General features: G+C 40.4%; 1 long non-coding RNA gene across 1 annotated transcript; it reads right to left on the reverse strand.

Annotated features, from left to right (window-relative positions):
* Positions 1 to 11,652: 11,652 nt before the first annotated feature.
* On the reverse strand, positions 11,653 to 13,407 carry LOC105371149 (uncharacterized). The gene is made up of 3 exons (XR_950941.2): positions 13,318 to 13,407; positions 12,919 to 12,995; positions 11,653 to 11,869 (listed from the first exon to the last, which is right to left on the reverse strand). It is a non-coding gene; the product is annotated as an uncharacterized LOC105371149 (long non-coding RNA).
* Positions 13,408 to 20,518: the final 7,111 nt, after the last annotated feature.

Raw genomic sequence — 20,518 nt, forward strand, 5'->3', positions numbered from 1 at the left:
AGAAATCTTTGAGATATGGAGCTCTCAGAGTTCTCAAATTCGATATTAAAAGCACATCAGTGAAAGGAGAAACTGATCAATTGAATTTCATCAAAAGGAATAACTTTTTCAGTGTGAAAAAAAACCCTGCTAAGACGGATACGAAGCTACAGACTGGAATAAACGGTTTGTAAGCCACATTCCTGACAAAGGGCTAGTATAAAGAACTCTAAATGCTCAACAATAAACAAAACAAAACAAAACAAAACACAATTACAAAATGAACAAAAACCATTAAGAGATATTTTACTGAAGAAGATATACAGATGGTAAATAAACACATGAAAAGATATTCAACATTATTAGCCATTAGGGCAATGTAAATTAAAATAATTGGATATTACAACATACCTGTCAGAAGAGCTAAAATGTAAAATCAACATAGTAATAACCCTGAATGTCAAGAGGATGTAGGGGAATTAGATCCCTCATACACTGCTGGTGGATTGTAAAATGGTACAGCCACTCTGGAAATCATTTTTGCAGTACTACCGTATGACCCAGCCATTACACTCTTGTGTATTTATCCCAGAGAAACAGAATCTTGGCATTTACACCAAAACCTGTACATGAATGTTTATGGCAACTTTATTCATAATGGCCAAACTTAAAATAACCCAGATGTCCTTTAATGGCTGAATGGGCAAACTGTGATACATTCATACTATAGAATACCATTCAGTGATAGGAGCGCCAGTGGTGCAGTTGGTTAGCCCTTGGTACTTATGCAGAATACTATTAAGTGATAAAAATGAATGAGCTGTTGGTACATATAACAATGTAATGAATCTTAAGGGAATCATGTTGATAAAATCCAGTCACAGTAAGTTACATATTGCATAATTTCATTTATACAACATTCTTGAAATGACACCTTTATGAAAATGGAGAATAAATTCACAGTTGTCAGAGGTTAAGGAGGAGGTACAGGTTAGAGGCGAGAGCGTGTGGCTATAAAAAGAACCATGAGGGCTGAGCGTGGTAGCTCACACTTGTAATCTTAGCAGTTTGGGAGGCCTAGGTGGGCAGATCACCTGAGATTAGGGGTTCAAGACCAGCCTGGCCAACATGGAGAAACTCTGCCTCTACTAAAAACACAAAAATTAGCTGGCCATGGTGGTGGCCGCCTGTAATCCCAGCTACTCAGAAGGCTGAGGCAGAAGAATTGCTTGAACCCAGGAGGCAGAGGTTACGGTAAGCCAAGATCACGCCACTGCACTCCAGCGTGGGTGACAGAGTGAGACTCCATCTAAAAGAATAATAATAATAAAATCAAAAACAAACAAAAAGACTATGAGGGATCTTTGTGGTGATAGAAATACTCTGTATCTTGACTGTAGCAATGTCAATATTTTGGTTTTGTTATTACACTATAGTTTTGCCAGATATTACCATAGGGAGAAACTAGGTGAAGGATATTATGGAATTGTCTTTATGTTTTTTTTTACAACTATATATCAATCTACAATTACATAAAAAGAAAAATTTAATTCAAAGCGAAGATCATAGAGGGCTCCATGTCATTAACCATTAGGTTAAATGGTTTGAAATCAGCTAACACTTTTAAGACAAAAATGACATGGGTCAGAATTAGGATCCAGCTTCTTGGATGCCTGGCTTTGCATCAGCCTCACTGCACGAATCATCAGTTCCATACCTTGAAAATGGGATGTGTAAATCAAGTCTGACCTAGAGGGGGATGCTGGGGTGTGAAGAAGCAATGTAGGTCTTTATAGACAGCAAGTCCTGGAACCTGGAGGGAGGAGAGGTCATGGCTTGCATGGACCTGAGGGCAGGCATGAACTGAGATCTGAGGGATGATGAAAGTGAACTTTAGCTTAAGAAGAGGAGGACTGGAGTTGGAGGTTTCCTGGAGAGAGCCCTCTTCTTGAGAACTGGTCCCGCCTCTCTGATTTATGGGACAAAGCAGCACTGACTAGAGCATTCTTGGTTAGAATGTTATCAAGATCAAGGCACTTTCAGGGAAAAATAAGTTTTGAGTGTGAATAGGCTGATTTTCTTTCTTTTTTCCTTTCCTGTTCTTCTTTTTCAGGTTATTCTGCCATAACAGCAATGATCTGAAGGAAGATGTGTTTTATTATTTGATCCCTTGGAATATGTAGCCTCTCTCTTGGAAAAGTTGACATCGTGGCAGAGGAAAACCCCATTTAGTGGACCACTCCCATTTCCAGTTGAGAAGAAAATAGTCACTGTGACCTTCCCTGATTGTGAAGGATGGGATTCCTTAAGTGAATTGCTTTGGTTTAATGAGTACAAAGGAGAAAAGAGGGTATCTGACTGTTTTCTCACTGAGGGCAGGGACCACACCAGCCCCGTTCTTCCTTGTGCTCAGTGTAGCTAAGTGTGTATCTCTAGAACCTGGATTGGGTGCTGATTCGCTGTGTGAAGTTGCCCATGCTTTTTAGCCTTTCTGATCTTTAGGTTTCACTTTTGCTTCCAAAGGATGTACCTATGTGCTCCCATCTACATGAGGCTGAAATGCGTGGACCTGGAGATCAGATGCAACTGCTTTCAGGTCTGGCTTTGGGATCTTGGGCATGTTACTGGAATCTGAGTTCTAAGTAAACAGAGATGATGTCCTCTTCCTTTTCTCCCATTGACCTCTAGCACCTGGAATAGGTTCTACCACCAAATAGGTGCTCAGTAAGCATTTGTGAATAAATGAACAGCCCTATCCCTCACTTATTCCATCAAGGATTTGCCTGAGCCTATCCTTCTGCACCATGTACTCTAGGCAGTCCCTCCATGGACCTTCTTTGCTTTATAAGGCAGATGATGATGTTGGTTGTGATTCCAAGTCCCTGGTCTCCCCAGCTGGGTCACGTTGCTGTGGCTCTGCTGGGGTGGTGGAAGGAAAGACACACCTTGAGAATAGAATGCATTACCTGGAGGCCTCCATTAGGAAATGCAGTGAGCAGGCACATTCTCACTCATGTTCCAATAATGTTTTTGATGCAACTAACACAAGGGCTAAGCTGAAGGTAGAGGACAAGAATGGAGCATTCGGAATTGAAGGGAACTGAGTTCAAATCCAGTTCTATTCCTTTCTAGCTCTTACCATGTCCCATGTAAACATTTACTGGCCACCTGCTGGGTGCAAGGTATTGTTTTAGATACTGGGTATACAGTAGTGAGCAAAAAAGGCAAGGCCTCTGTTTTCCGGGATCTAACATTCAGTGGAGGTGGACAGACAATAACAGTGACATAAATAATTAAAACAATTTCAGATACTAATACATGCTATAAAAAAATAAATAGCTCATGTAATGAGTTCAGGCAACAGATATTTATTGGGTATCTATTATGTGCTAGGCACTGTTCTAGGTTCTGGAGATACAAAGAGTGAAGACAATAAACATTACTCTCATAGAATCTACAGTCTAATGGAGGAAGACATACAATAATAAATAAATGAGTGAAAAGGCATGGTGTCTTGTGCCTGCAATCCTTGCACATTGGGAGTCCAAGGGAGGATGATCACTTGAGGCCAGGAGTTGGGGACCAGCCTGAGCAACAAAGCAAGACCCTGTCTCGACAAAAAAAAAAATTAAATAGAAATTAGCTGAGTGTGGTGGTGTGTGCCTATAGTTTCAACTACTCAGGAGGCTGGATTGCTTGAGTCCAGGAGTTCAAGGCTGCGGTGAGCTGTGATTGCACCACTGCTGCACTCCAGCCTGGACAACAGAGTGGGACCCCTGTTTCAAAAATAAAAAAAGAAGATAACATACATGTTGGAGTTGAGTGGTGATAGAAATTGTAAATATAAATGAAGCAGGTGAGGTGAAAATGTGTGTGTGACTGTGTACATGCTATTTTAGACAGGGCAGTGACAAAAATTCTCTTTGATACAGTGACAGACATTTAAGCAGTGATATAATTTCTAGTATCAGTTTCTGCTGAAAATGTGGAAGATGGGATTTAGCTCCGAGGTTGTAGTGAGGACTAAATGAGGTGCTAAATTTGAATGTGCCTGAGCAGGTGCCTAGAACGTGAAACAGACTCAGGAAGCACAGGTTATTATTACTGTTGTTATTGTTGGTGGTGATCAGTGTCTGTAACGAAGGCCTGTGAAAACAGAGTCAAAATCAGTATTCCTTTCACTGGAGTCTCAAGAGAAAAACTGTCCATGAAGGGAAGGAAGAGCTCAGGGAAACACAGAAACCTGAGGCTCTTTGTTTTTCTCCGTCACAGTAGCATCTGCTGGAGGCTGAAATCTTAATTAGCTTAGACAGGTGAGTATCCCCATTTCTAGGCTTTTTCCATTTGTGATGTTCACAGAGCTAGCAGGATTGCTGGCTGTGTGCCTGAGGGTGTGTGCGTGTGGGAGGCAGCAACTCCTCCAAGCATGGGGCTCAGGCTGCCAGGTGAGACAAGCCTCTTGTATATGGTCTAAGGATGCTCTGCTGTCTGGTCCTCTCCAAGGGATGGTTAGAGGAAGCCACCTCCACCTTCCTAAACTACTCTACTCATTTTTCACAACCTGGATCTGGCCCAGCTCATTCAGTAACTGGTTTAGCAACCTGGAGAAACACATAATCACAAGCTACTGGTGAAGAGAATTTAGACATGCTACTATGACTAAAAATGAAAAAATAAATGGTCCAGGCCATACGCAGAGACTGCTAGCACAGTAATATTCTTTAGTGATCACTGCTCTGAACATCTTCGTTTGCAATTGGGAAAATGGTGCTATTTACTGCCTAAGCCAAGGCCACACAGTGAATTCATGATAAACTAGAAGTCAGAAATCATATTTATGCTTTTTGAGCTGAGGCCCACAAAACTCTCAGGAATGACAATTGTGTCAGTGTGTCTAAGCAGAAAAGCAGAAACGACTTCAAGTATTAAATGGACACTGATATGGTTTGGGTGTGTCCCTACCCAAATCTCATCTTGAACTGCAGTTCCCACAATCCCTAGGTGTCGTAAGAGGGACCTGGTGGGAGGTAACTGAAGCATGGAGGCCATTACCCCAATGCTGTTCTCGTGCTAGTGAGTGAGTTCTCACAAGATCTGATGGTTTTATAAGGGGCTTTCCCCCTTTTGCTCAACACTTCTCTCTCCTGCCACCATGTGAAGGATGTGTTTGCTGTCCCTTCTGCCATGATTGTAAGTTTCCTGAGGCCTTCCCAGTCATGCGGAACTGTGAGTCAATTAAATCTCTTTCCTTTATAAATTACCCAGTCTTGAATATTTCTTCATAGACGTGTGAGAACAGACTAATAAAGACACATGGAGAGGAACAGCACACACTGGGGCCTATGGGAGGGTGGAGGTTTGGTGAGGGAAAGGATCAGGAAAAATAACTAATGGGTACTAGGCTTAATATCTGGATGATGAGATAATCTGTACAGCAAACTCCATGACACAAGCTTACCTATGTAACAAACAGGAACATGTACCCCTGAACTTAAAATAAAAGTTAAATAAAATAAAATAAAACTGAAGGAATTTAATAGGAGTTATTTTTCCAGATGATAGAAGAGACCAAACATAAAAAATGTGGTAACCCAGTGTCTTAGCCTATTTTATGTTGCTATAAAAGAATACTTGAGATGGGAGAATTTGTAAAGAAAAGAAGTGTATGTTTGTTCTGCAGGCTGAGAAGTTCAAGGGCATAGCCTTGTCTTCTGAGGGCTTTCATGCTGATCACTACATGGCAGAGAAGATCAAAGGGGAAGGGGACACATGTAAGAAGGGGAAACCTGGGGGGTGTCCTGGCTTTTTAACTTACTCTCTCGGGAACTAATCCATTCTCATGAGAGGTAATCCAGTCTCTTGAGAGCAGGAATTCACCCACTATGGCAAGAAAAGTACCCAGCCATTCATGAGGAATCCACTATGAATCACGGAGAATATGATCAATCAAAGGTAGTGATAATTCCACCATAATGAGGAGAGTAGCTTAGGAAGATGAAGGCAGCTTCCTCACCCCATCCCTTGGAGAGGACAAGACAGCAGAGAATCCTCAGACCATAATCCAAACACATTCCACTAAGCCCCACCTCTCAACATCACCACACTGGGGATCAAATTTCAAAATGAGCTTTGGTGGGGAAAAACAAACCACGTCCAAACCACAGCTCCTAGAGATTAGCAACAGCAGGAAGTTGCCGCCAACTCTAGGCCAGGGACCTCAAGAGAAGTGGTGGGGTTACCAGAACCCAGAAACACCTGGAAAAAGCTAGAACCATGGCAGATCTGCCAGGGAAGGGCTGAAGCCACAGAAGTTAAACACTCTCTGCCCTGGAAATCACTGGAAAAGAGAATGGAGAAATGTCCTGTTTCTCCTTTTTCCCTTGCTATCCAATTTCCTGCCAGTACCTTCCATTGGCCAAACCCAATAGAAAGGTAGCAACTGTAGAATCCTAGGAAATTCGGCTGCACAGGGGAAGCCCCATTGTAATATAGAGCAGAGAAGAGGAAGGGCAGGAAACCATTCTGAGGGTGAAGAAGTCCAGAAGAACCAGCAGCACCATAATCACTTCCATACTATGTTTGATTGATCATAGACTATGTGTTAACACTATGGTAAGACAGTTGCTATCAAGACCAATAACAGAATTCTTCCAGGCAATTGACCTAGCTATATAAGCACTCTGAGTCCTATTTTGCAGCTAGAACAATGACGCTAAGCAAAGTGAAGTGGCTTGCCACAGGTGGTACTTTTAGGTGGCTGGGCCAACATCTGACCTAAGGTCAGTTGGATTCCAAAGTCGATGACTTTAACCCATTATTAAAAATCACAGGTATTTTTCCAATGGAGCTAATTTTATCTGTTGGTAAATATATTAACACATTAGTTTTCTAGTAAAATAAGTACCAATATATTTATACAGGAGAATGACCAATTTCTAATACGTTTTTTTTTTTCATTTTTTATTAAGGTATAATTTGCAGACACTAAATTCAATCTTTTTTTTTTGAGACAGAGTCGCATTCTGTTACCCAGGCTGGAGTGCAGTGGTGCGATCTCGGCTCACTGCAACCTCCGCCTCCCGGATTCAAATGTAGTCCCCGAGTAGCTGGGACTACAGGCGTGCGCCATCATGCCTGGCTAATTTTTGTATTTTTAGTAGAGACAGGGTTTCTCCATGTTAACCAGGCTGGTCTTGAACTCCTGACCTCAAGTGGTTCGCCAGCTTGGGCCTCCCAAAGTGCTGGGATTACAGGTTTGAGCCACCACTCTCAGGCTGTCTTAGAAGCCTGTCTTTAGAAGTATTTTTGTGTACAAGTTTTAAAATTTCTCTGTGGCTCAGTTTCCTCATCTGGAAATGAGGATAATAGTACTCACGCGATAGGCTTGATGTGAAGATTAAATAAATTATTGTAAGTAAAGGGCTTAGAATAGTACTGAGCATAAAGGCATTATATCAGCATTACTATGATTATTATGATTACTGCTATTATTACTAATACCACTAGTATTGTTGTTGTTCTTATTGAATAAATGATCAGGGCACCATCAATGGATGTGGGAAATGGCAGTGGGGAGTGTGTAGAAAGCACAGTTTGGGGTTTTGGACCGTGAACTCAGTACATGGGCTACCTTAGAGAAATTGTTTCATTAATACAAATTTTTATTTTCTTATTGACTATTATGGATATCTGTTATCATCTTTCTTCCCAGCATTGTTGCCCTCTTCTGGCAACCTCTTGTTCTGCTAACTACGTTTTCATTGTACAACCACTTCTCAAGTATTTCCAAAGGGTTGGCCCCGCCCTGGGCACCAGTGGAAGGCCTACACTCCAGCTCTGACCAATCAGAGCCCTGCTGTACCTTTGATATGGTGATGGGTTCAGGCACGGACATATGACTCAGGCCTGTCCAGTGAGGATCTTCCCAGGAATTTTACTAGAGCTACCCGGAATAAGGTAAGTTATTTTGCTGGTTTCCCTAACTGCTGGCTGGAAGGTTGTAGCAGCTATCTTCACCACCATGAGGGAAGACCCTTTCTGTGAATAAAATCAATGCCAAGGAAAATCGACTTAAAATGAGGGAGTGAGAAATTTTTTGCAGCACTAGAGTGCAACGGAAGTCAGACAACCTCTATTCATGTGTTCTAACTACATGAATCAATAAATTATTTTTGTTGTTATTTTGCTAAAACCAGTTTGAGTTACATTTCTTCACTTTCAACCACAGGCGACCTGACTTACAAATCTGTGAATTACGGATAATAATCCCAAACTGTGAAGTTTGGAATAATATTTGTGCAAAGTCTAAAACATTTTATATATCTTAATAAATGGTAACCGTTTGAAATAATGAAGAAAATTCTTGGAAATACTCAGGTCAGGGACTGAAAGCATTTTAGTCATTCTGAAACCACTCAATGGGTGAGGAGTTGGAAATCACACCTTAGCTTCCCCCAGTGACCAGCTAAAATGTTGTTAGGATTTTGAAGGCCTGTTCAATACAGGTGTTGTTAGGATTTTACAGGCCTGTTCTACATGCTTTTCTCCTCATCATGACATTCAAAAATCCTTCATGCAAACTGAGGCAGTTTGGTGTGACAGGAAGCATGTTTGACACCATAGAAAATGGTACAATAGGTAGCACTGCAACTTACCATATGGCTTTGGGTTGTCACTGATGTTCTCTGAATCTCAGCTTTCTCAAGTGTGGCAGCACATGGCAATAACTCTTCTGCCTTACTTCTGAGTTGCGCTTTGATTAAAAGAGAAAAGAGATGTGAGAGTATTTTGACAAGAGTAAGACATCATCATATGTGAATGATTTTCATCTATTTCTACTTAGAAAGGTATCTAATCTTTGGAATATAAATATCCTGGGTGCAAGGATTATATGTATATTTTTTACCATTTTTTTTATTTTACTTTATGTTCTGGGATACATGTGCAGAATGTACAGCTTTGTTACATTGGTATACATGTGCCATGGTGGTTTGCTGCGCCTATTAACCCATCATCTAGGTTTTAAGCCCCAAAACCATAAAGACCCTAGAGGAAAACCTAGACAATACCATTCAGGACATAGGCATGGGCAAAGGCTTCATGACTAAAACACCAAAAGCAATTGCAACAAAACCCAAAACTGACAAATGGGATCTAATCAAACTAAAGAGCTCTGCACAGCAAAAGAAACTATCATCGGAGTGAACAGGCCACCTACAGAATGGGAAAAAATTTTTGCAATCTACCCATCTGACAAAGGTCTGACATCCAGAATCTATAAGGAACTTAAACAAACTTACAAGAAACAAACCAACCAACCTATCAAAAAGTGGGCAAAGGATATGAGCAGACACTTCTCAAAAGAAGACATTTATGTGGCCAAGGATTATATTCTTTAACAAATTCAAAGATTTTTTTTTGTAACACTTCGTGGTAGATTTTTTTCTAAAAAGACCACAAATTCTTCCCTGCCCTGTTCCCGTGCCCTTTCAATGGAGCACTTTGCATCCCCTTCCATCAAGAGATGGCAATTGTACTCTTTTCTGGTCTGGCTTTGTGACTTGACTTGGTCATTAGAATGTATCAGAAGCAATGTAATTCCAGTTCTGAGCCTAGGCCTCAAGAAGCCTTACAGTTTCCTTCCCATTTTGGGACTCTTCCAGTCAGCATTTAAAACACTAAGCTAGTCTGCCAAAGGGTGAGAGACCATTAGACATAAACCATATCAACTGAGCCCATCCTAGGCCAGCCGGCTCCCAGCTAAGCTGACCCAGTAGCTGTCCACAGATGCACAAGTGAGCCCAGCTGAGACTCAAAGAGATGCTCCAGTGAGCTCAGCCTAACTTGCCATTCCACAGTATTGTGAATTAAATAAAAGACAGTTTTTTCAAGTCAGTAAGTTTTGAGAAGCCTTGTTCCATAGTAAAAGCTAATACATACCAAGTAGTGTCAGTAGGTGGTCATATCTACCACAATGTGTCTCTTTACAAGGACAGTGATTTGAGTGCCAGCTTCGTCATTTATTATCTTGTGACCTTGAGTAAGTGAGTCCTTATGCTCCTCTCCATCTTTAAATTAGGACTAATCATCCAACGTTCCTCACATGGTTCTGATGATTGAATAAGACAAAATCAATGCTGAAATGGATAGAATGGGCCATGTTAGAGTGATGACCTTCAAGCTTCTTTGCAAACTTAAGGGTTTATATGGACTGTATAAATGTAGGTTATTAGTATTATTACGATACATAGAGTAGACACATAATCAATATTGATGACACTATTGGAATAAAATTGCCAAGACCTGAAAGTAAAAAGAGATAACCCTCCCAGGGCTCACTCACAGTGTTCAGACTTGTATTCTATGAGACATTCAGGAAGGAACCGTCATAAAGTAATAAAACTGGCCCTGCTGCACGTGGGCACACAAACTCACATGGTTCCTGAATCCTATTGTGTTCTGAGAATATCTAACAGGCAAAGGGAGAAAGAAGAAAGCCTGGAGGCATTTTCTGGCTCTCTGCTGCCACACATCTTGAGATCATAAGGAGCAAGGATTAAGAATTTCCCAGGGTGACTCTGAATTCAGGATGTGAGAAATCCAGTACCATTTTGTAAACAGGCAAGCCCCAGAGGAACCACTGCCCAGTCATTACCAGTGCAACTTCTTTGCAGGAATCATAATCTGTCCCATTCCAAGGTTTAATGTGGCCCTAACGAGTCTATGAGCTGTGTGGGTGTGCTGTCCTGGGAAAATAAAAGGACTCAAAGCCCTGGGACCACTTGGTGCCTGAGCCTTCCCAAGCCGGTTCTTCTTAATGAATTTTCTCAACCCAAGTAGATGTGGATGCTGTCTTAATTTGGGTTGCTATAACAAAGCACCATAGACTGGGTGGCTTAAAAACAACAGAAATGTATTTATCACAGGTCTGGAGGCTGGAAATCTAAGATCAGGGTGCCAGCATGGTCACTTATGGTGAGACCTCCTTCCAGATTGTAGATGGCCAACTTCTCGTTGTATTCTCACATGGTAGAAAAGGAGTGAGAGAGTTATCAGGGGCCCCTTTTATGTGAGCACTAATCCCATTCATGAGAGTTCCATCATCATGATCCAATTACCTCCCACAGGTGCTATCTCCTAATGCTATGGCATTGGAAGTTAGGAGTTCAACATACAAATTTCAGATGGGCAAAACTTTCAGTCTATAACATCTGGGAATTCAGAAAAGACCATCTGGATCTTAGGACACCCAATCTTTCTTGATGTAATCACTCATTCATTCATTCTCAATGTCAAGATGGTTGTGGATTATTATGTGAATGTGGATAGTGGATAGCAGCTTGGGGTCTGGAACCAAACTTCTCAAGTCAGAATTTCACCCATGCCACTCAGCAGTGTGGCTTTGGGTAGATTTGAGCCTGTTATCTCATCTATACAATGGGAATAATAAGTATAATCCTGCTAGTCACAATAATAACAAAAACAACCCCTTGGGTGGTGGTGAGAATTGGAGTGATATTGAAAACCACTTAGAATCATGCAAGTGTATAAGGACTCAATAAATATTAACCATTCTTATGCTTATTATAGATAAGCTTGGACAGGTGTAAAATGACTCTGTCCTCATAGATTTCAAATTCTCTAGGAAAAGAGTGTGATGACCAAACAAATAACTGAATAAGTAATTACAGATTTCTAGGAGTGCAGTGAAGGAAATAAACAAATATGATCAAATAGGACTTGGAGGGGAGGAGCTTATCTGGAGCAGATGGTCAGGGATGGTCTTGGATGGCTGAAAGTCCAGGATGAGGGTGCCAGCATGGTTGGATTCTGATGAGGGCTGCCTTCCAGGTTGCAGATGGCTGACTTCTTGTATCCTCACTTGGATACACTTGGAAGGGAAGTGAGAGAGTTCTCAGAGGACTCTTTCTTATGGGCACTAATGCCATTCATTAGTGGGATTAGGAGAGATATGGAGAAAGAGAGTTCAGGATGGAGGGAAGAATGAATGCAAAAGCCCTGAAGCACTATCAGCTTGACATTGTCAAAAAACAGAAAAGAAAACCATTAAGTGGAATTTACGGAGAGAAGGGCAGACTAGCAGGGACTGAATGCCAAGAAGTAGGCAGAGTACTGTTCAAGTAGGCTGTATCAAAGAATATAAGAACAAAAATATTATAAATAAAATGAGAATAGTTTTTGTAATGCATAGGTTGGACATATTCTATCTCTTTTACAAGCACTTTAATTCATTTATTTACATTTTACTGGGTTTAAAAGAGGTTAAATAACTTTTGCAAAGTCACACAGCTCTCTGCTCTTTGCCCTAACTCTGAAAATTCTCTGGCCCTCATTCAGTTCAGTACCTCCTCTCTCAATAATTTCCTTAGGTCTGCCTGGCTTTTATGTTGCATTTTTGGGTCTGCACTTCCTGTTGTCTCTAGCACTTCTTCTAGATGGTTTTATATTTGAATACTGAAAACCACACACCACAATCAGGAAGAGCTAGTCTTGGAAATACTAACTCCCCCAGTTCCTGTTCTTCTGAAGTTGGTTCCTAGCAACTTACACCTGCTGGTGTTTTGGGGGGCAAAAGGAAGACATATTTAACCCATTAATGAAGCCCTCAGGTATAAAGAAAACTTTCCAGTATTCAGAGTTTTGCGTAATGAGGACATACGGACAGTGATATCACTGTCGTTCGAGCAAAGGACTAACGGCTATTCATAATAAAGAGTGGATGTGTGTGTGAGTACGCGTACGTGTATGCATGATGGCAATTAGCAGTCTGCCAAAAATTCAAACACTCTCTGTCAACTTTTTGAGCCTCAATTACTCATTCGTGGGTAGGAATTAAAAGTTCTTCCCAAGATTATGACAACAGATACTTACAGCACCCTTAGTACATGCCAGGCGCTGGTCCACATTATACTCACATACCTTTACATACAATTCTACTTCTTGACAAACCCAATGAGGCAGGTACCGTCACTATTCCCATTTCATAAATGATGACCCTGAAGAAGAAGAGAGTCAAGTCAACTTAACCAAAGTCATAAAGTGAGAAAGTGGCAAAACTAGAATTCAAACCCAGACTGTCCTGAACCAGAGCCTCTGTTTGTAATATATAGAAATGAAGTTTGGTGCATATTATGTGCTTAATATATTTTACAATCTTTCTTCCCACTTCTAAGGGGAATTCGAGTTAGCCACCCAGAATGATGTCTGTGGCCCAGCTACAATGACTACAGCTTATTTTTGTTCCCCCTGGCCCACAACTGTGGTTCACTCAATGGGCAGCCTTTAAACACTAGGCACATAAAAAAAGAAAAGAAATACCACAAACAGGCTGACGGCGCTTGGCATCTCTCTCTTCAAATGGATGTGGTTGAAAGCTGATGAGATGTTAGAAATTCCTCTAGATCATGGCTGGGTTGTGTGGAAAGAACAAAAGGAATATTGATGTATCCCAAGGTGTTATCCTAACAGGATGGACCGTCATGACATTCACAAATTCTGAACTGGGTTCACAGCTTATGTTCTGACCTTCCTACCCCACTGGAATAAAATCAGCTTCCTTTTTGCTCCTGCCTCTAAGACTGTTCTTAAGTTTTGAGGAGGCTCATCACCTTCTGAGACCCAAACAGAAACGGAACAACACAGTTGTGTTTTTGTTTCAACTACTCTATCTTGCTCTGGGAGACTGGTTTAATAATTTATAACTTTCTTTCTTTCTGGCTGAGTCCTGTTCACCAGTACAAAGTCATTCTTTGATTCATGAATTTTTTTTTTGGCTCAAACATATTCAGTATCTAAACCCTGCCTGTTAGTATGAGCACAGCTTCAGTCAAAGGAAGAAAGAAAAAATCTCCAGAGGAAGATTCCCAGGAACCTGCTTTGTCTTTCCCATCTCAAAGCTAGATATCATCAACATGCTTACTCAGTCCAACAAAATGCTTCAAAGTGGGTTCAGAGTTCTAGTTAAACACAAAAGGTTCTGATTGTCTCGGATTGAAGTTCTTTAAAAGCATAAAAAGAGATGCAATGCTTCAAAGGAACTAGAAACTACGAACATTTTTAAATTTACTTTTTCCTCCATCTTTTCCAGACAGGATTCCCAATAGCTTCCAACAGGACATGCAACACCACAAGGTAGTAGAAATGAAAAGGTAGAGCGAAAGTTACTAGGAAAACAAGACAGAGGGTGTGCAATAGAACTTGCTATGAGGTTAAAAAGCAGTTTGTCATGACTTGTATTCCAGAAACTGGTGCAGCAAATATTTGGCTTTCAGCTTCCTGAGGAAAGTTTGCCTGTTTTCTCATTACTTGCAATACCCATGATATAAAAACAAGCTACTTTTTCAAGAGAAATACAAATGTTCTTGTCACAAAGATCAGATTGAAATTTCTCTTTCAGATCCTTATAAAGAAAATATATATGATCTCAAGAGCAATGTCCTTAACAATGCTTTTTCTTTTTCTTTTTTCTTTTTTTTTTTTGATACAAAGTCTCACTCTGTCACCGAGGCTGGAGTGCAATGGCATGATCTTGGCTCACTGCAGCCTCTACACCCTAGGTTCAAGTGATACTCCTGCATCGACCTCCCGAGTAGCTGGGATTACAGACATGTGCCACCATGCCAGGTTAATTTTTGTACTTTTAGTAGACACAGGGTTTCACCATGTTAGCCAGGCTGGTCTCGAACTCCTGACCTCAGGTGATCCACCCACCTTGGCCTTCCAAAGTGCTGGGATTACAGGTGTGAGCCACCATGCCCGACCATCAACGATTTAAATTTTTTTAAATGTTTTACATTTTTTTAAAATAATGATTGTCAATACAGCCTGAAGTTATCCTACCAAGGCACAATTTTGGAAAAGGCAATTTTGCAAGAATCTATATAATGTCATCTAGTGACTTGGCTTTGTCCAGAGATACATTTTGAAATTTCCAAAATCGTCAATGATATGTTTTAAGTAACAGCCTGTTGTTGGAGTTTTTCTTAATTGGTGTTCTGATAAATATTGAGTTGGATTTAAGAGTTTATTCAATGAAATTTCAAAAAACAGTGTAGCTTCTTTGGTTACTGTTGAAATCACACTTCTATGATTTAACAAATCAGTGTCCTGGGTGGGTGAGTAGCAGATGATAGCATCTTTGTCTAGGTAGAGGGGTGCACAGAGACCTAACAAAAATACATTCCTGAATATAAGACCACCCTTCTTCTTTCTGTGTTAAACCCAGTGATTACCTAGGGAATAGGGCAGGATTATATTCACCTCAGAGCTGAGAAATGAGTGATCGGGTCCCCAAATTCTACTCTGTATACAAAGAATACAATAGTGGTGACCGGAGTCATCATTAAGGCAGATGCTACCTAGACACTAGATTCAGTCAGAATAGAGTTTAAAGCCTTCAAAAAGCAGCTCTCTCTGATAAGCTCTTAGCAAAAGATTCAATCAATATAACAATCTGGTTACCAGTTTGTTAAATGTTATTGATATCTTTGAGAAAAGACACAGTTGGATACAAAGATAAATTGAAATTATAAAAAGAATCACCCAAAGAAAAATTTTAAACTGCTGAATAGAGAAGATACAGGACTCTGTATGAAGGTTTGTCTTTTCTTTGAGTTAGTGGGTGAGCTCACTGCTGAAGAGGGAAGGGATGATATGATACTGGGGCTTGGATGGTGTAGAGATAATATAAAGGTGAAATATATTTCCTAAAGAAATGAAATAGAATTGAATTGTAGTGGTTATTCTCTGCAAGATTTTGTGATGTTCATAATCAGAAAAACTGAATACTCAGTGTGACCCAAGTTCAAGGACTTGTTAGGATGTATGGTGATGCCAAAGGTATGATAAACATACGAGGCCAGAAAGGATAGTTTGGTAATGTCTCAGCAAGCCATGACATTAGAAAGGGAGGCACATAATGATAGAGGAGATAAAAAGGGTTAGGACAATGGTGAGAGATCTAGCTACTGAATATCCAGTGACAATGAATGCAGTGGTTGGAAAGAGGTTTTAGAGAAAATAGTTGTAGGTAGAGATTGAGAAGCTAAAGCTTAAGCTTGAGAAATTCAAATGAGTTAATGATGAAAAATTACTGTAAATTAAAACTATTCTATACTGCAATTTATTGCTCATTTGATGACATGCAGAATGAAGAAAATGATGATGATGGTAGTGATAATGATGATAATGGTGGTGATAGTGATGATGGTAGCAGAGGTAACAATGGTGATAGTGGTGGCGATGATGATGATGATGGTGGTGGTGATGGTGGTGGTGATGGTGGTGGTGATGGTGGTGGTGATGGTGGTGGTGATGATGGTGATGGTGATGGTGATGGTGATAATGATGGTGAAGATGGTTATGATGGTGGTGGTGATGATGATGGTGATGATAGTGATGGTGGTAGTGATGATGATGATGATGATGGTGATGATGGGGGTGATGGTGATAATAGTGGTGGTGGTCGTGGTGAAAATGGTCGTGAAGATGGGAGTAGTGGTTGTGATGTTTCTGGTATGATTATGCTCTTCCTAGTGACAAGGAAGAAGATGTTTCCTCATCTGTTTCCTTGCTCCCATGTTTTTACATGTTTTCTCCTCCTCCTGAACTGTTATTGCTTATCCTTGACTTATTGTATGTCTGGAGAATGTATTTCCACCCATCTTCTTCTCTCCATTCTCAGTGTCACTTCCTAGCCTAATGCACCATAATTTCTCACCTGAACTGCTGCAACAACTTCCAAACTGATCTCTCTTCTTCCAATCTCGACTTTTCTTTCAACCTCAACCACCAACCTAAGTCCATTCTCTGCATGGTAGACAAATGATCTTTCAAAAGTATAGATTATATCTTGTTACTATCTGGCCTAAAATCCATGATCTAAGAAAAGCAACAAACAAAAAAACAAAAGCATAAAAACAAACTTTTTAGCGTAGCCTACGAAACTCTCCATGATGTGGCCCCTGCCCAGCTCTGAGACCTCATTTTATGCCACTCTGCCTTTTGACCACAGAGCTCCAGCCACACTGTTACCTCTTCAGATCTCTGAAAAACCTATGCTTTTGTTAGCCAGGGGACCTTTCAAAATAGCAAGTTTGACTTTTCTTTTCACTGCTGTAACCCCAGAGCCTGGCAGACCACATGGCCACTACTGGTACCAGAGCCTGGTAGACCATATGATCACTATATACGTGTGTTGAAGAAATAAAAAAGAGACAAAATGAATACTTCTCTTTTTTTTATACCACCAGTATGTTTCACAGGCATCTCTATCTATGACTTTCTGACAGTAGATTATAATTTCATGTTTCATATTTTTTTTTCTGCTAGAATATATGAGCTTCTTCAGGGCTGGGATCAAACCTGATTTAAGTCCACTTCCACAGAACTGAGCAAATGTCAAATAGTATATATTCTATAAATACAGTAAAAATTAAGAAATGCTACTGTAGGTGTGGGATCACCAACTGTGAGATCAGGGTGTCACATGAAGAATCAGGTATGTCATTATTAAAGATGATAGCAAGCAACAAGCAGCTTGAAGCAGAAGCAATGTAATAATGAAAATGAACTTTTATCATTGGGTGGATGGATCCACTTCTTTTTACTCCCAGATGGCCCACTGTATCCTTCGTCTTATCTGAAAATATCTTGTGTATACGCCAGTTTGTTTGAAACTTTTCTTTCCATGTTTTCTCTCTGAAGTCAAGGGACAGGAGAGAAATGACATTTTCTTTGCCAAGATCAATTTGAAGTCCTCAGCAGGAGCTCACATTAATCACCTTCTTAGAGGCTTTCTTTTTCTGCTGCTCAGAAAGACTATTGTTAAAGGCAAAGGGGCCAGGAACTTCATTGATTCTTTCCCCACTCTATATGAATAGGTCCTCTTTATCTATCTAAAGAGGTATATTGTCAAATATTTCTGTATTCTACCTCTAGTACTTTGAACTGCATGCGGCTCTCTTGACCTAGGACAACAAAGGTATGCAAATCTTGTCTTCTCAGAGCTCAGGGAATAGAAAAAGTCAAGAGTACATGTTCATTCCCCCATATGGGCCAATTAGCTTTTCTGTATTCAGTGAACCAAAGCAGCCCCCATGACTGAGCATCTACTATGAGAAAAGCCTTGTGATAATTGCAGAGAAGGAGGAGATAAATGGTGTGGTCTTTTCCCTGGAGGATGTAACAATATATTGAGGAGACAGAGAGATGAATAAACCATCATAGTAAAGTGTTAAAGTCTCTAATAGAAGATGTACAAGGGAATTTGAAATGATAAAAGACAGAGATTAGTGGTGCTGGAGAAGGTTTCCCAAGGAGAATGCCACTTGTGTCAGGTCAAGAAGGATGAGAGGGGGTTTTCCAAATAACTAGAATAGGAAGAATCTGCCAAAAAAAGGAACATATTCTATGCTGTAAGTGTGGAAAAGGACTGACCATCAAGAACTCATCTTTTCCTTGGATAAGATCAGTTACATTGATGTTGTTCACAGACCCCTGGGGCAGCCAGGAAAGCTGATAGGGGAGGGAAAGGACACTAAATGTAATTCTTGCCCCTCAACCAACCTGCTGAGGTCCTGCCCTTTAGGGATTGATATGGTACCAGCACCAAAGGGTGATAGCAGGAGTAAAATTTTATTGTTCAAAACTGATGTACCACCTTCTACCACACTTATCTCTTCTATCCACATTTATCTACCCCAATTATTTACCACTGGCTACTGCAGAGAAAAGAAGTGGGAACAGTGACCAAATTTGAAGCAAATGATCTCTTTTGCTGAAAGCCAGCCTGTAGTATCCTACTTATTGCTCTGCTACACCCTCAACCCTATTCCTAATTCAGTAAAAGAATGTTAAGCCACAGAGAAGCTAGATAAATTATCTCTTATCTCTAAAATTGCACACCAAAAAACATGGGCGGTGGGGAAGATTTTGGCATTTGAAGGTATGTGTGATATCAGCCTATTATTTAGATTTTTAAAGGCTACTACCGGAATAATTTCAAACACGTGGTTTAGCTACACAATCTGATTGCCACTAATCCAAATTAAGATGTGGCATGTGCAGTGGTTCACACTTGTAATACCAGCACTTTGAGATGCAAAAGTGGATGAATCACGGGAGCCCAAGAGTTTGAGATCAGCCTGGATGACACAGCAAAACCCTATCTCTACAACAGATACAAAAATTAGCCTGACATGGTGGCATGTGCCTGTAGTCCCAGCTACTGAGGAGGATGAGGTGGGAGGATCATTTGAGCGAGAGAGGTCAAGGCTGCAGGGATCCATGATCACACCATTTCACTCCAGCCTGGGCAACAGAGCAAGACCCTGTCTCAAACCCTGCCCCTACTCAAAAACAAAACAAAACAAAACAAAAAAAACCAACAATAACCAAATTAAGATGTGCTGTTAGTGAAAAATACGCAATAAATTTTGAAGATTTGCTACAGAAAATACATAATATCTCAATTTTCATATTGATTTCATGTTGGAATGATAAGATTTGAGCTGTATAGTGTTAAAATATTATTAACGTTATTTTTCCTTGTGTCTTTTAACTTTCTTAAATGTGCCTGTTAGAAAATCTAAAATTGCGTGTGGAGCTTGTATTATATTTCTACCAGAGAGCATTATCTGTGAGATTAAAGATATGTTGCTTTAGGTTGCTAAATTTGTGCTAATTTGTTACAGCAGCAATAAAAACTGATGTGATGTTGATAAACCTCCATCAAAATATGGGGTCTGTGATCCAGTCACTTAAACACAAGAAAAGTTTTGTGACTGCCTAGACCAACAGAACAACACTGCATGCCCTGCTGCCTCTGTCCAAGAGCCTTGGAACACAGCCATCTTGTGAGGAAGCCTCCAGCCAATATCCAGTATCAACCACCACATATGTGAGTAAATGAGCTGACACGTGTTTTCAGGCCCTGGCCTTACAGTCTTCCAGGTGAGGACATAGATAAAATGATGCGAAGACAAACCATCCCCACCATGCCATCTGAATTTCTCCATCTTGTTACCTTCCATATCAGCGTATGAAAGGTGGCTTGTTTAATGTCCTAGGATAATTGGTAAACCATCAGTTTAGCATTTAAAAAGTAATCTAGATTATTTCCTCCACAATTTAAATGTCCAGAAAACTGAAACATTAGCTTTTGATAATTATGGGTCCTAGATACAAGAAACACTATATATATGGGATGGCTTGTCTTGGCATCATTTTATCTATGTCCTCACTTGAAAGACTCTAAGGCCAGGGCCTGAAATCACCTGTCAGCTCATTTACTCACATATGTGGTGGTTGATACTGGATATTGGCTGGAGGCTTCCTCACAAGATGGCCATCTTCCAAGGCTCTTGGAGAGAGGCAGTTAGTTGCATATATAGGTAAAATGCTCATTCTTGTCATTGGGTTTCCTCTGAGTTCCACTGATTTCCTGGATAAATCAGGTGTATATAAAATCTCACATTCTTTTCAAGCTCAATTACCCTGCCCCACCATTTATCTTTTGCAT

Source organism: Homo sapiens, chromosome 16 (assembly GCF_000001405.40).
Source record: "Homo sapiens chromosome 16, GRCh38.p14 Primary Assembly".
Taxonomy (NCBI): domain Eukaryota; kingdom Metazoa; phylum Chordata; class Mammalia; order Primates; family Hominidae; genus Homo; species Homo sapiens.